The sequence below is a fragment of the Homo sapiens genome, chromosome 14, assembly GCF_000001405.40.
Source record: "Homo sapiens chromosome 14, GRCh38.p14 Primary Assembly".
Lineage (NCBI taxonomy): Eukaryota > Metazoa > Chordata > Mammalia > Primates > Hominidae > Homo > Homo sapiens.
In genome coordinates, this window is record NC_000014.9 from 23,111,144 (window position 1) to 23,124,705 (window position 13,562).

The 13,562-nt window shown below is 53.1% G+C and overlaps 1 protein-coding gene across 1 annotated transcript, besides 7 other annotated features; it reads right to left on the reverse strand.

The window, feature by feature from the left end:
- Positions 2,739–3,457: an enhancer, noted in NCBI's record as "H3K4me1 hESC enhancer chr14:23583091-23583809 (GRCh37/hg19 assembly coordinates)". NCBI's record gives its function as "activates a minimal SCP1, AML or CMV promoter by ChIP-STARR-seq in primed H9 embryonic stem cells {active_cell/tissue: H9 hESC(primed)}" and the evidence as "EXISTENCE:reporter gene assay evidence [ECO:0000049][PMID:30033119]".
- Positions 3,623–4,822: an enhancer, noted in NCBI's record as "P300/CBP strongly-dependent group 1 enhancer chr14:23583975-23585174 (GRCh37/hg19 assembly coordinates)". NCBI's record gives its function as "activates an origin of replication core promoter dependent on BRD2, BRD4, P300/CBP, MED14 and CDK7 cofactors, with strong dependence on P300/CBP, by STARR-seq in HCT116 cells {active_cell/tissue: HCT116}" and the evidence as "EXISTENCE:reporter gene assay evidence [ECO:0000049][PMID:35650434]".
- Positions 6,163–8,112, reverse strand: CEBPE (CCAAT enhancer binding protein epsilon). The gene is made up of 2 exons (NM_001805.4): positions 7,439–8,112; positions 6,163–6,679 (listed from the first exon to the last, which is right to left on the reverse strand). The coding sequence occupies exons 1-2, from the start codon at positions 7,946–7,948 to the stop codon at positions 6,344–6,346; spliced, it is 846 nt and encodes a 281-aa protein (NP_001796.2). The 5' UTR covers positions 7,949–8,112; the 3' UTR covers positions 6,163–6,343.
- Positions 8,751–8,830: an enhancer, noted in NCBI's record as "active region_8165". NCBI's record gives its function as "activates an Ori minimal core promoter by ATAC-STARR-seq in GM12878 lymphoblastoid cells {active_cell/tissue: GM12878}" and the evidence as "EXISTENCE:reporter gene assay evidence [ECO:0000049][PMID:35858748]".
- Positions 8,911–9,441: an enhancer, noted in NCBI's record as "H3K4me1 hESC enhancer chr14:23589263-23589793 (GRCh37/hg19 assembly coordinates)". NCBI's record gives its function as "activates a minimal SCP1, AML or CMV promoter by ChIP-STARR-seq in naive H9 embryonic stem cells {active_cell/tissue: H9 hESC(naive)}" and the evidence as "EXISTENCE:reporter gene assay evidence [ECO:0000049][PMID:30033119]".
- Positions 9,931–9,980: an enhancer, noted in NCBI's record as "active region_8166". NCBI's record gives its function as "activates an Ori minimal core promoter by ATAC-STARR-seq in GM12878 lymphoblastoid cells {active_cell/tissue: GM12878}" and the evidence as "EXISTENCE:reporter gene assay evidence [ECO:0000049][PMID:35858748]".
- Positions 10,061–10,120: an enhancer, noted in NCBI's record as "active region_8167". NCBI's record gives its function as "activates an Ori minimal core promoter by ATAC-STARR-seq in GM12878 lymphoblastoid cells {active_cell/tissue: GM12878}" and the evidence as "EXISTENCE:reporter gene assay evidence [ECO:0000049][PMID:35858748]".
- Positions 12,447–12,946: an enhancer, noted in NCBI's record as "H3K4me1 hESC enhancer chr14:23592799-23593298 (GRCh37/hg19 assembly coordinates)". NCBI's record gives its function as "activates a minimal SCP1, AML or CMV promoter by ChIP-STARR-seq in naive H9 embryonic stem cells {active_cell/tissue: H9 hESC(naive)}" and the evidence as "EXISTENCE:reporter gene assay evidence [ECO:0000049][PMID:30033119]".

A 13,562-nucleotide genomic window follows, 5' to 3' on the forward strand; every position in this document is an offset into this window, starting at 1 on the left:
ATCCCACGCTGATAGAATCTCCTTTCCTTATGGTGGTTTGCTCAAGCTGGCACCCAGCAGCTGTTCTATTAAGCTCATGAGGAACCACAGCCCTTCCCATCTTCACATCTCACCTTCTCTGCCTTAGGTTCCAGGCTCACCACTGCAATCCCCTTTTGTTAATGCCTTCAACTCCTCTCCCCTGTCTGTCCTTTCCATCTCATCTCCCTGGTTAAGTCTCAACTCTAGATGGACCTAACATTTGTCTTCTCCGCACTTGCTCTCAAGCACCTAAGGACCACTGGACAAAATCATCCCAGAGGACATGTCACTCTAAAGTGGTCATCGTCAGCTTCAGTTGGGCGCTTTCAAGTCAGAAAGCTCAGCAATGAGCTCCCTCTTCTACCCTCACCAACTAGGATTTTATACTTTCTTTCTTTTTTTTCTTTTTTTTGAGATGGAGTCTCACTCTGTTGCCCAGGCTGGAGTGCAGTGGCTCGGTCTCAGCTCACTGCAAACTCCGCCTCCTGGGTTCCCACCGTTCTCCTGCCTCAGCCTCCTGAGTAGCTGGGACTACAGGTGCCCGCCACCACACCCAGCCAATTTTTTGTATTTCTAGTTGAGACGGGGTTTCACCGTATTAGCCAGGATGGTCTCGATCCCTGACCTTGTGATCCGCCCGCCTCAGCCTCCCAAAGCACTGGGATTACAGACGTGAGCCACTGCGTCCGGCTGGATTTTATACTTTCAAACCTCCAGCCTCCCCTCCTGCTCAGTGACTTTTGGTTATCTCTTCTTTCATGGTGAAAATAAAAGCCATAAGATAGGAACAGCCCCGGCTTGCTACAAACCTATTTGTATTTGATTCTGTTGCCATCTCCTCTGTTTCTTGTTAAAAAAGAGGAGACGTCTTCTTCCCTTGGAAGGCTGGTTCTCCCTCTGATGCTCTGAATCCCATCTAAGGGAGCTTCTGGCCTCAGCCTCTTCAAGCCTCTCTGCCTCTTCCCAGCATCTTGCCCTGCACCCCCAGCCTTCAGTCAGTGAATGAGAAGGACCTGCTTGGGAACCTTTGTGTGTACTTTTCTTTCTGTTGGGAACCCCCACTTTTTGCCAGATGAATTCCTACTCATCATTTAGATATCCGCCGATATGTTATCCCTTCAAAGAAGCCTTTCCCGACCCTCACATTTAAATCAGATACCCATGTTAATATCGGCCATCAGTCACCCCTTTACTTTTGCTAGATGACACTGCCCACAATTTGTTTGTGGTCTTATGTTTGTCACTCTCACTAATCTATAAACCCCCAAAGGGCAGGGACTGTTCTCCTTATGTGTCCCATAGCTTCTATAACAAAGTGCTTGGCTTCAAGTAGGTGTTTAGTATGTATTTTTTGAGTAAATGAATGTGGTGAGAAGGCAGGAGGGAGGTGAGGGATGGAAGCGTGAGGATAGAAGATAGAAGGTGAGTAGATGGAGAGTGAGGAGAGGATGGTAATGAGGACAGTATGCAAAGGTGAGGCTGGGGATGGAGGGGAGAAGGGGTGAGGGGAGGACCAAGGAGAAGGGGTCTTTGCACTGGTGTAATGCTTCCAGACCCTGAGTGGGCTCCCAGGAGCTCTGTTTCTTGGGACCATGCTGCCTGTGAGGTTTGAAGGCAGGGCTGGAGGGAGGAGCTAGGCTTTATCTTAGGGTGCAGCCCTAACCTCAGATGGTGACAGAGCTGCAGCCAGCAGGGGTTTTGCAAACCGTCCCGATTGCAGCAGGCCAGCAGTCTCGCTGGGGACGAGCGGGTGGGGCCTGAGCTTATCTCCTGAGTACAGTCCTAACCTCAGATGGTGACAAAGCGGGAGCTAGAAGGCGTTTTGCAAACCGTCCCGATTGCAGCAAGGTTGGATAGCCTGGCCAGGGGTGACAGTGCTAGGTGTGTGTGTGGTGGTGGTGGTGGGGGGGGCGTGGTGAGCAATAGGGGTTTGGACAGTTTAGGACTCCAGGGTGAAGCTTAGCTCATGGGGCGTAGGGGATGGATCCATTCTATGTGTGGCTTGCCTCTACCTACCCCTAGAACCCTGTTTCTTCTAAAAGGGAAGCAAATCTAAGGGAAAAATCTAGTCTGTCCCTGGACCTAAAATAAATACATAAATAAATAAATAATAAAAGAGAAGCAAGAGGCTACAGCTCTGTGGTGGGTCTTTCCCTATCAAGAAGCCTGCCCCTTCCCAGGCCCTGGGACCTTTCCATTGCTCTCTGAAGTCAGAATTGATGGCCATTTTGATAAAGTTAAGTTGTAGCCATTTTCCTCTGAAAACCCACACCCTCTCCCCTTGGGGAGAATTTCTCATATGCCACTGAGGTTTTCTGAGGCCAGGCCAGGCCTGCTTATGGAAGCAGCTGACAGAGGTCAGCCAGGGGTTCTGTCCAGCTTGGGCCACTCCCATTTTGGAGCAGCTCATGCTGAGTCGGGAGGAGGGGTCTGTCTGCGGGGGGTGGGGGGTGCTGGTGAGGGTGATGGGAAGTGACTGGCCTGTCCGAGAGGAGACGCACAGGCTCTCAGCCAGCCCTGCCTATTGTTGCCTCAGCGTCTCCTGAACAGCCCCCTTCATCCCATAGTCCCCTCACTGGCTTGGAGCACGGCAGGGGGTGGAGGTGAAGAGGCCCCTTTCCACCCACAACCCCAACCGGGATCTTGCAACACTGGGATGGGGGCCCTGGGGGCCCAGGCATGTGGCAATCTGTGTAGAGGGGTGGGGAGGTGTGCACCGAGCAGGGGGGTTGGGGGCAGCTTTCACAAGCCACTGCCTCCGCTGACTGACCTTGGCAGACTCACCTTGGGCAGCTTCCTCCCTCTGCAGTGTCTCCCCACAGTCTGTCTTCTCCTCTGCAGCTTCCCTGTGGCCTAAGATCCTGTCTCTCAGCTCAGGAGTCTCATTCTGCTCCCCAGTTCTGCTCCAGAAAGAAAAGTGGGCCTGAGCTGTGGGCGCTGAAGCAATAGGACTGCATGCGTGTGCTGTTTGGACCTTGATTTGCTGGTTTTCAAACGTTATCGAGTCCCCGGTCCTGGTGCCTTTCCCCAGGCAGGGTTTGGCTAACTGCCCTTCCCTGGGCTCCTTTCTGTCATCTCCTTCCCCAGTGGGGACAACCTTACTGTGGTAAAGGTGCCAGGAGGACCAAGGGGCAGGGAAGCTGAATCCAGGGGCAGAGAGAACCCTGCTCTCCACCTGCCCCGGCTTCTTAGGCACCATCCTCCTTGACAGAGGGAATGAAAATAGTCATTTGCAACCCCTGCAGCCCCATTCTGGAGGGAAGGTGCATCTTTTTCTTACTTATCCTCTCCTTCCTTCTTTCATTCAGCATCTACTCCTGGCTTCCTTTCTCTCGGTCACCTTAGGGCTTTTGCATTTACCCTTCCCTCTGTTCACCCTTACACTCAAAGACATACCTGCCTCCTTCTCAAAATTTTTGAAGTGTCAACTAAAATGTCACTTCCTCAGAGATACCTTTCTCGGCCACCCCAGCTAAAATAGCCTCCCTACCTGTTGGTTTATGTGGTTTCCCCAATGGGCTATTCAAATGGAGTAAGCAGGAGAAGTTAATTAAGGTGCTTTATGAAGATGTGAACCAACAGTATCTGGGGAAAGTTCCTGGAGTGGTGAAGTCCCCTGGGCTAGCCCAGCACGGGGGGCGCCTGAGGGCCAGGAATCCTTTGGGAGGGACTGTGGAGAGCGCCGGTCAGCAGGGGGCTCCCACCACTCTCCTCCTGCCAGTCTCACCCCCACCCCATGAGAGGCTGGTTGATGTAGGGAGGCATCCACCTGGGGACTGTGTAGGGTGATGAAGGGTGGAGAGGGTTCTGGAGGGGCAAAGGAAGACATTCAGCACACTTGTTTATTGACTTTTTCTTCCTACTCCTTCTGCTGAGAACTTGTCTCATTCCTAGAAAAGATACTCAACAAATACTTGTTGAATAAGTTACGTTGGCCAAAACCAATTGAGGTCAGATTGAAAGCCTCTTTCAGGAAGTGTGCCCTCTGGCTCTGACTCACACCCCTGGAATATGATCTGATGCAGAGGATTGGGATGTGTTCAGCTGCTGCACGTCACGCTGGGATCACAGTGGGGAGACGGGGATGTGACTCCCCCAGACTGGGTGCCAGTCAGGAAGGCTCCACTAGGCACCGGCCCTGAGGACCTGACTGGGTGAGCGGGGGCCTGAGAGGAGAAGCAATTCAGAGCTGTGGGAACAAAGCCTGGGCTTCATGCTGAAGCAACCCAGGTCCCATCACCCAGAACCTTGAAAGTAAGTCAAGGGACAGTGGTCTTGAGCTGAGAGGAGGAAATCCGGAGGTTGAGTCATTTACCATGTTCTGTACAAACCCCCCTTATGCAACCTATCCCCCTGGGCTGAAAGGAAGGTGTGAGGATTCTCCCAGGTGCCCACAGAGACTGGTACCTCCCCTCCTTCTGAACTCAGGAAGCTCCAGTCGGTCCCTCCACTGAAGGTTCAGATCTCTCCCTCCAAACCAGACCTGGGGCACGGGCCTCCAGGACACAGAGGTGCCCGAGAGACACAGAGGCAAAGGCAGGAAAAGGACTGAGTCCTGGGCAAGGTAGACATGCCGCACACGGATGCCCGAGGTGTGGGAGGGCTCTACCGCTGGAGATTTGAAGAAGGGAGAGAGATCTGGGATGATCCAGACACCAGTCTCTCACCTTCTCAGAAAATTATTCCTTGATGTCTGACTCAGCCTTTCACAGCATTGGCTTAGGAGAGACTTTAAGAAGCCCGTAATCTGTCCCTGGGTCCCTGACACTGTTGGGCACTGTTCTTTATTGAATGTGATTCATGTGACACTCGTACTGAGGATCTGTGAGAAGAGTGTAGCGTGGAGTAGAGAGACAGGTACCACGTACTGAGGCAGCAAAGGGACTCAGTGAGTGTCAGGAGAAGCCTCTTACCCCTCTGGCCCTCAACTGCTTTATCTGTAAAATGTGGCTCACCCTACCTTGCTGGTCTGAGGGCAGAGCCCACCAGATGATCTCTTGAGGTCTCTCCCAGCACATCTTGAGATCTGCGATTTTACAGAGCCAATTTTGGTTCTACCTCTAAACAATCGTGTGACTCCAGGTAAGTCCCTTCCCCTCTTTGCAGCCTGTTTTCTTACCTGCAAAATGAGTTTAGATGAGATCTCTGAGGTCCTTTCAGTTCCAGCAAAATGGAGGAATCATAATAAATATGCTTATTACATGCAAAGTTTTCTTTTTCTATGAATATAACAACACTACGGAGTGGGGACAAATATTGCAACCATTTTGCAGATGAGGAAACTGAGGCACAGAAAGACATAATGGCTCAAGGCTCACAGCTAGTAAGTAGCAGTGTAAGATTCAAACTGAGGCTCTTAATTATTGTACCATTCTGTCTCTTAGGCTGTAGTCCAATGCAAAAGAAAATGCTGTTTCGAATGATGGGTTTCCCTGGCACGGGCAGATTGTCATCCTCCTTCTCACTACCAGTGTTCTCATACACAAATCCGGTCTCCAGGTCTTTCCCAACCGATTCCTGTCCCATGCACTCAATTCTCAAGCTTTAGGGAACTGGAGCCTCAGGGATGAGGGACAAAGGATGGAAATGAATGGGTGGGAGCAGCGTGGGGAGGGTGTCCATCTGGTAGACTGAGGCTTTGGAAATGGAGAGAAGAGATGGCGGGCTGGATCAAGGGACCATAAATATGGCAGAGCCATCAGGAATTTTCCCATGGTCACCTGGGGCAGGAGCTCCCAGACCTATACCTCAAGGTGAGAGAGAGTGGGCCTGGGATCAGCAGGCCTGGGCATGAAGGACTGTGTGGTGCCGGGATCTCCCTACAAGCTGAAGATCTTTGTTAGCAGAGCATACAAAGGTGCTCCAGGTCCTGTGGGGGGCGGGGATGTGCCTTCAGCTCACAGAAGGGGGTGATGGGGGATGTCAGGGAGAGAAGAGCAGAGTGACAGATACACGGCCTGGCTGTGTGGTATATTGGGGGTGGGCTGTGGACAGCATGTCTGTGTTTCCACATGTCCACTTGGTCATGGAAACAAGAGGTGCAGACCTAGCCACATGCATCCTCTGTCCCCAGGGTCCTCCATGACACACACACACACACACACACACACACACACACACACACAGCCAACAGTCCCAACACCCAGTCACAGTGCAACTTTATTCAGCCATATAATCATTATGCTGGGTCCTGCCCTCTTTGCCACCCCGGTTGCCATTTATCCATGGTCTATGTCTCAGGGTTCTAGGCCCCCAGCAGGATGGGGGTCCGCAGAGTTAGGCCGTGCCAGGGAGCCTGGTGCCCACAATCCACCAGCCAGCCTCAGCTGCAACCCCCCACGCCCTTGATGAGGTTGGCCGCCTCAGGAATCTGGCGGAAGAGGTTGCGGAGGGTGTCTAGCTCCTGGGTGAGCTGCTCCACGCGGCTGCGGAGGCGCTCGTTCTCTGCCATGTACTCCAGCACCTTCTGCTGCGTCTCCAGAATGCGCCTCTTGGCCTTGTCTCGGCTCTTGCGCACGGCGATGTTGTTGCGCTCCCGCCTCAGCCGGTACTCAAGGCTATCTTTGTTCACTGCCTTCTTGCCCTTGTGTAAGGGGCCAGCCGGGGAGGGCGCCTTCAGGAGGGGACTGCAGGGGGGTGCGGCAGTGGCCAAAGGGGCCTGGAGGGGAAGGCACGGAGAGACGGAGAGGTGAGGGCTGGCCAGGAGGCAGAGCGGAGGCGGGGCGGGAATCTCGGCAGCCAGGGCACACTTGATGCGTCAAAGGAATACAGGACTCAGAGCCAGCTCCTGTCTCTCAGGTCAAAACTATCATCGCTCTGCTTCTGGGAGATGGTGACCCAGATGCACAGGGTCCTCTGCTTGAGACCAAAACTCCCTTTCATGTTCTCACACTTTCTTTCTTTCTTTTTTTGTAAAGATGGAGCCTTGCTATGTTGTCCAGGCTGGTCTCCAACCCCTGGCCTTAAGCGAACCTCCTGCTTTGGCCTCCCAAAGCGCTGGGATTACAGGCATGAGCCACGACACCCAGCCAATGCTCTCACACTTTCTGAGTACACTTTCCCTCAATCTGCCTTGAGTCTCCCGTTCTATGACCAGTAGACATTTCTCACAGAAGCAGGCGGCAGAGAAACAAGAGGAGGGGGCATGGTGAGCAGCAGAGAGGCTGGCGGTGGGGGCCTGAGATCAAGTAGGTCAGCTTGCCACAGGGGCTTTGGGTGGGGATTCAGGGTGGGAATGAATTCACAGAGAAGGAAAGGGAGGTCATGGTGGGGTGTGAACACAGAGGACTGTGGGTTGGGTCCATTTCACAGAGCGACACCAAGCACAGGCTCAGCAGCATGAGCCGGGGCACAGGGTCCTGTCCACACCAGCCTCTCCAGCCCCGGGCAGGAGGGAGGAGGGCTGGCCTGCTCTTACCTTGAGAACGCGCAGAGGCTGGCCGGGTGCTGCCAGAGTTGGGGGCAGGTGCATGGCTGTCTGCCCACAGTGTGCCACTTGGTACTGCAGGGGATTGTAGCTGCCTCGGCTGGCAGCTCGGCTGCCCTCTGGCCCCCGGGGCTCCTCCTTCACCGCCACAGCCCTGGGGTCGTAGCTCCCTGGGCTGCTGTAGATGCCAGGCCCCAGCGCCTTCCTGTCTGGGCCGAAGGTATGTGGAGGGTAGGCAAAGGGCCGAGGGTCAGGCGGCAAGTAGTGGGGGAAGGCAGGGGTTCCGGGGCCCTTGAGGCCTCTGGCCTCAGGCGCTGGCTTCACGGCAAAGAGATCGGAGAGAAGCTGCTCTTCCCCAGACTCGATGTAGGCGGAGAGGTCAATGGAGGCCTCATGCTCACACATGTCCCCTAGCTCCCCGGGCCCAGCTCGGCCCCCTGAGAACTCGAGTGGCTGCTGGCCACCCCGGGGCTCACACTCGTAGTAGGTCCCGTGGGACATGGCCGGCCCGCCCCCTCGGCTCCCCGCCCCCACCTGCTCTTGAGGCACCCCTTGGGGTGCTCCGGCTGCCCTCTCTCTACCTCCTCCTGACCTGGGCCTGCCCTCTCTCGATCTTCTGCCCTAGACCTGCCCTCTGCAGTCTCCTCTGTCACCCACTCCTGTGTGGCCTCTCTCCCCCCTCTGCTCTGCTTCCTTTTCCTTCCTCTGTAGTCAATGCCTCTCTTCTCTTCCCTTTTTTCCCCTCTCTCCCCTTGGGGTGACTCAGGGAGGGGCAGGACACACCCCAGAGGGAGAGATGTAAGCCTTAGAGAAAGGCGACTCCTGGCCTATTCAGCAGTTGGGGACACTCCTTGGTCAGGGACCAAGCCAGGGTTCTGGAGATGCCCGAAGCTGATGCTTCTGGGAATGCCTCTCCACTCCCTGCTGGGAGGCCAGGGGACTCCAAATCCTCGCAGAGGGCAACACCCCACTCTGAGCAACCTCCTCCCTCCGACTTTGAAAAAGTTCTATGCAGAATGAGGTTCCAAGTTAGAGTGAAGAGAGAAAGCCCTCTTCCAGTGCCTACCCTCAGTTGGGTCTCACCTCCTCCCTTGACACGCCTTCCTCTGGCTCTCCCCTGCTGCTGGGCTCCACCTACCCCCAAGAGAAAGTTTCTTTTGTAGCCCCACCTCCCAGAGCATTCTCTGAGTGTAGGCCAGGGTTTGTTTTTTGAGGGGTCTAGGGAGTAGTGATAGGTCCTAGGAACAAGCTCTACACGCGAGCCTGCGTGGTGCTCCAGAGCATGCTCATTTGCTAGGTTTTTGCACAGGAGCTGTGCAATAGCCCACATGTTAGTGCGTTTCCAGCCCTAGCTACCTCTAGCAGCCTGGTACACTTCCTAACTCCCTGGGCTTGGCCAAAGCACCTGGTCAGGACTTGGGCCTTGCACCGCAGGCCTAGGCAGGTTGCTGCCCTCGGAGTAGACAGCCATAATCCTCCGGTGGCTCCAGCACTTCTCTCTTCCAGCTGCTCTGTGCTGCAAGAGGCTCAGGCTGGTGCTTCGCCCCTCACCCTGGGCCTGAGGCTCTGCCTCTGGTTTCCTGTGCCTGGGCTGCAGGGCTTAGGAGCTTGCTGCAGCTCGTTTGCTGTCTTTCCTTTTGCATGGCCGCTCTCTGATCTCCAATGCGTGTCTCTTGGGTCTACTTCCTCTTGTGAGGTTTGAGAAGCCTCTTATGTCATCACCTCTTCCTGGGGCTCTGTTTTAGGGTCTCCAGGAGAAGCCCATGGCTCCCTCTCTGCAATTCTTTGTTCTGTGCTGGCTCTCCTCTTCCCTTTTCTCTTTCCTTTGGGAACTCCCCACTACCTCCTTTCAGAGACACCTGCTCTGGTACTGCTTTTACCTGTTGAATTTCATCTCCAAAAGGGATTGTAGGTCCAGTTGGGGGGGGGGGGGGAAGGACACATAGAAATGTTACTGACTCTTTTATGACCAGCAAGTGCTATGGGTGCCCCAGAGGGACCAGAAGTTTTTGTAAGTTGGGCCAAACAAGGGGTGGTTCACTGTGAGTGGGCCACAGTAGGACAAGTGCAGAGAGGATGTGTGTCGCATTGAACATTAAAATTTTAAAAATGCATATTCTGATTAGCATATTCCGGTTAGCATATTCCTTACATCCTCCCTACCCCAACACCTACCCCAGATGCTCTCTGTGCATGACTTGAGACATGGCCAGATATGCTTTATCTGAAAGCACAGTGACCTGGTGTGGGGAGATCTGCGTGTAACCCAGAGACAGATGTCAGGAATTAGGGAGATTTCTCCATTTCAAAGCTGAGCTCTCAGTTTGGTGGCAGTGCTTGTGTTGACCACCAGGTGGCAATATTGGCCCCAATATTTCGGACTCGGAGGGCTGCTGTGGTCCGGACTCAGGTGGACAGCAGAGGGCAGCCTCTCACAGCGCTGGCTCTCGGCAGGCTCCTGCGGGGCATCTGGAAGGAGGAAGAGGAAACCTGGCTGGGATGGGGTCTTGCAGTGCAGTTCCAGGGAGAATGAGCAGCCTGCCAGTACTGGGTCCAGGGCCTTGTCTCCATGAGGAGAAATTCTGTTCCCTCCCCTACTTTGAAATAATGATAATGAATAGGCCTTGTGCTTTCTGATAAATTAATGCTTTTTCAATCCTTGAAACCTACACTTTTTCATGCTCTTTCCCTGTGGGTTATGCGGGAAGGTAGGCAAGGCAGACAGTATTTTTATTCCTACTTTATAAACAGGGAAAACAAGGCTGAGAGGCTGAGCTACCCAAGGTCATCCAAGGAGGATGCCTGGTTCGTCTCTGGCTGAAAGGATGGGAAGGGGTTGCTATGTGACTCGGAGAACCTTCCTGGCCCTCATTTGGCCACCGTGGGGAGGGGGAAGTCTGCATCAGTAGCTTCAGTGAACTGGGCACAGGAGGATGTGGGAGGTATGCAAACAGAGCCGCAGGAAATGAGAAAGTCAGCAGCTTTAGCCATGGTGAGATAAATCTCTGCCCTGGCCTCCCCGGCTAGTGCTGACGTTGCTGGCATGCTGACCTCAGTGTTTCCCAGTAACAGGGGTTTGGCTGGGGCAGGCAGGGCTCTGGATGTCAGGGTAGGGTAGGGGGAGCTCTGGACAGGAAGGGGAGCTCTGGACAGGAATGGGAGGTGGGGAGGGCAGTGCCAGTCAGCGGCTGGGGGATTCTTGCTCAGGAGAGGAAAGAAGCTCTGCCGGGTCAGCAGGATCATTTTTCCTTGGCCACTGCAGTTACTACCTCTTTGGATTAACTGAAATGATGCATGTTTGTTATCTTAGTGACTTTGTAACAGGCCTCCTTCCAGTGCCACCTCCTTGGTGAATCAAGACTTTCCCAGTAGGAAGGTAACTGAGCATGGCTGTGAAGTGTTAAGGGAGAACTGGGCTCAAATCTGGCCTCCGTCACTGACCAGCTCCATGACCCTGGCAAGTTACTTAATCTTCCTTGCAAGGTGGCAGTAGTAATACCTCCTTCATAGGGTTGTTTAATTTAAACTGTGAATAACATAATGTATGTCATGCATCTGGTCTTAGTAAATGTGAAGTCTCCTTCTTCTCTTCCTCTGACCTCTCATTGCAGTTTTATCTGTGTCTCCTAAACAGACACTACCTGCTGCCTGGTGTGGTGCGTCAGTTTGACAAACATTTTTGAGCATATAGGTACTCATGGGGCACTGCATGGGGTCTGGGGATGTGTTGGGTTTAGCCCTCGCCAGTAGGGCTCACTGCCCAGCAGGAAGGCCCACAGGCAGTGGTTCCAACAAGGCATGGGTGGTCTGTAGAGCCAGGAAGCGCACACATATGTGTGCCGTGCGTATCCTTGGCTTCGTTCCCCTGGCAAACTATTTGCTCTTTGAGGGTAGGGTCAGTTACATCTTTTGGACCTCTTCAACTATGGTGACCATATTTCCTGAATTAAAATGAAGGACAGGGCCGGGTGCAGTGGCTCACACCTGTAATCCCAGCACTTTGGGAGGCTGAGGCGGGCAGATCACGAGGTCGGGAGATCAAGACCATCCTGGCTAACAGGGTGAAACCCCATCTCTGCTAAAAAAAAAAAAAATACAAAAATTAGCTGGGTATGGCGGCACGTGCCCGCAATCCCAGCTACTCGGGAGGCTGAGGCAGGAGAATCTCTTGAACCTGGGAGGCAGAGGTTGCAGTGAGCCAAGATCGCGTCACTGCACTCCAGCCTGGCAACAAAGCTAGACTCCGTCTCAAAAAAAAAAAGAAGGACAGGCAGGTTGACACAGGTGAATATCTTTATGGAGACAATGGAAGAAAATATTTGAAGTCTGTGCTGACTTAGAAAAATCAGGAAAAAATTTGCTATTTCCACAGCATATAGCAAAGTCTTTGACAGAATGGTCACAGAAAGATTTGTCGTGTGACCACATTAATAAATGAATGCATAAGCAGCTACAATTTCAGTGACTTTCAAAATGTTCCCAAATTCCCTGAAGTCAGAGCATGTGAAACTCCTAGGATTAAAGTGACTGGCAGGGTTAAGACGGGAAATGGCCAGGTTAAAAGTAAATGTTTGTTGCCCAGGAGGAGACCCACATTTGCCCATTTGACCAGGTTGAAAAGATCAGCAGGTGTCACAGAAAGAGAAGGTGCTCCTGAAGGACAAGTGCCTTCATGGAGTAGAAGGGATGAGGGACAGGACATGCTCAAATGGGGCAACAGGGAGGAGCCTGGGGCAGTCCAGGGAAGGGAAAGGAAAGGTGTGTGTGCTGGGAAAGAGGGGCCCAAAGGGCACATGTGAGGCTTGGACAAGACTGGCAGCCTCTGCCTTTTGGGACAACCTAAAGTTGGAAGATTGAGGAACTGTTTGAGATTAGGTCCAGCTCTCTTTCTTTCTCAAAATGCTAAGCAGGTGAGGTGACTTGCCCAAGGACACACAGCTGTTGAGTGGCCCGCCTCCCAGCTCAGCGTCCCTGTTGAATGGCGAGCTTCCAGCCTGTCTGGAAGAATGACAGCCACAAAGCAGGAGTGTTGGCGTCAGGCCAGGACTGGGAGTGGCGGCATCTTGCCTGCCTGTGTCCTCACAGTGTTCCAGATGGTGAAGGGTGATGTCTTAACACCACTGCCCCTCCACCACCCCCTTACTCCCGCCCTTGCCCTACATCTGCCAGCAGTGCTGGCTCTGGAATGGTACTGTCCCAGGACACGCAGCCAGGAGGGCGGCCCATAAAGACAGGGACACAAAGCAAGGACTGGGGCTAATCCCATCAACTTCCTCTAGCAGTTAGCCCAAAATGCCAGGAAGTACTTATACATACCTTAACGACTTTTTCCTTTTTCCCCTGTCCTAGTCCAGTGGTCCTCCTACTCTTCCTCCTAGAGCTAACTCTTCTTCTCAGATGGCTCTGTCCAGCTGAGTGAACCTAGCCTTACCTCCCAGGCCCTCCCATCAAGCTCCTCAGACCCTGACTCTCTCCACAGACTCGGCTCAGGCTGTGCTGATGAGAGAAGCCTTTGCTGATCAGGCTTTGGGAGGACATCTGCCTTTGCCTCCCTCAACTTGGCTGGATGCCATCTCTCCCTTGCCCATGTCCCACCCTGGGCAATGTTGACTTCTTCCCAGTTAGTCTGCAGGCTTTCAGTACGGTGCACAGAGCAGGAACTTAATAACACTTCATGACTCCAAGAAGGAGTGAGACAGTGTTGTTAAATAAAAAATTACAGAAGGCCATGGTTTTGGACTAAGCTCCTGCCCTAGGCCCCACAGACCAGGCTAAAAATCAAAATAGAATCACCCATGCTAAAGTTCCACATCACCAAATCTAAACTAAGTTGTTATCTGACCTTCCTAGAAATCAGGAGAGAGACATAACAGCCAATTAAAACAGGCCAGTTTCAATATTCAATGGACATGATAATGAAGTTCCCTCTGCTTTAATCTTTACACAAAACAAGGCAGCCTGAAGGATCCTGATATGAACTAATCAGTTATTTTTCTATTGTTCCGTCTCCCTGTCCCCACCTTACAAGAAAAGTAAATTTGTTTTTGTTTTTGAGACAGGGGCTTGCTCTTCCGCCCAGGCTGGAGGGCAGTAGCGCAAGCATAGCTCACTGCAG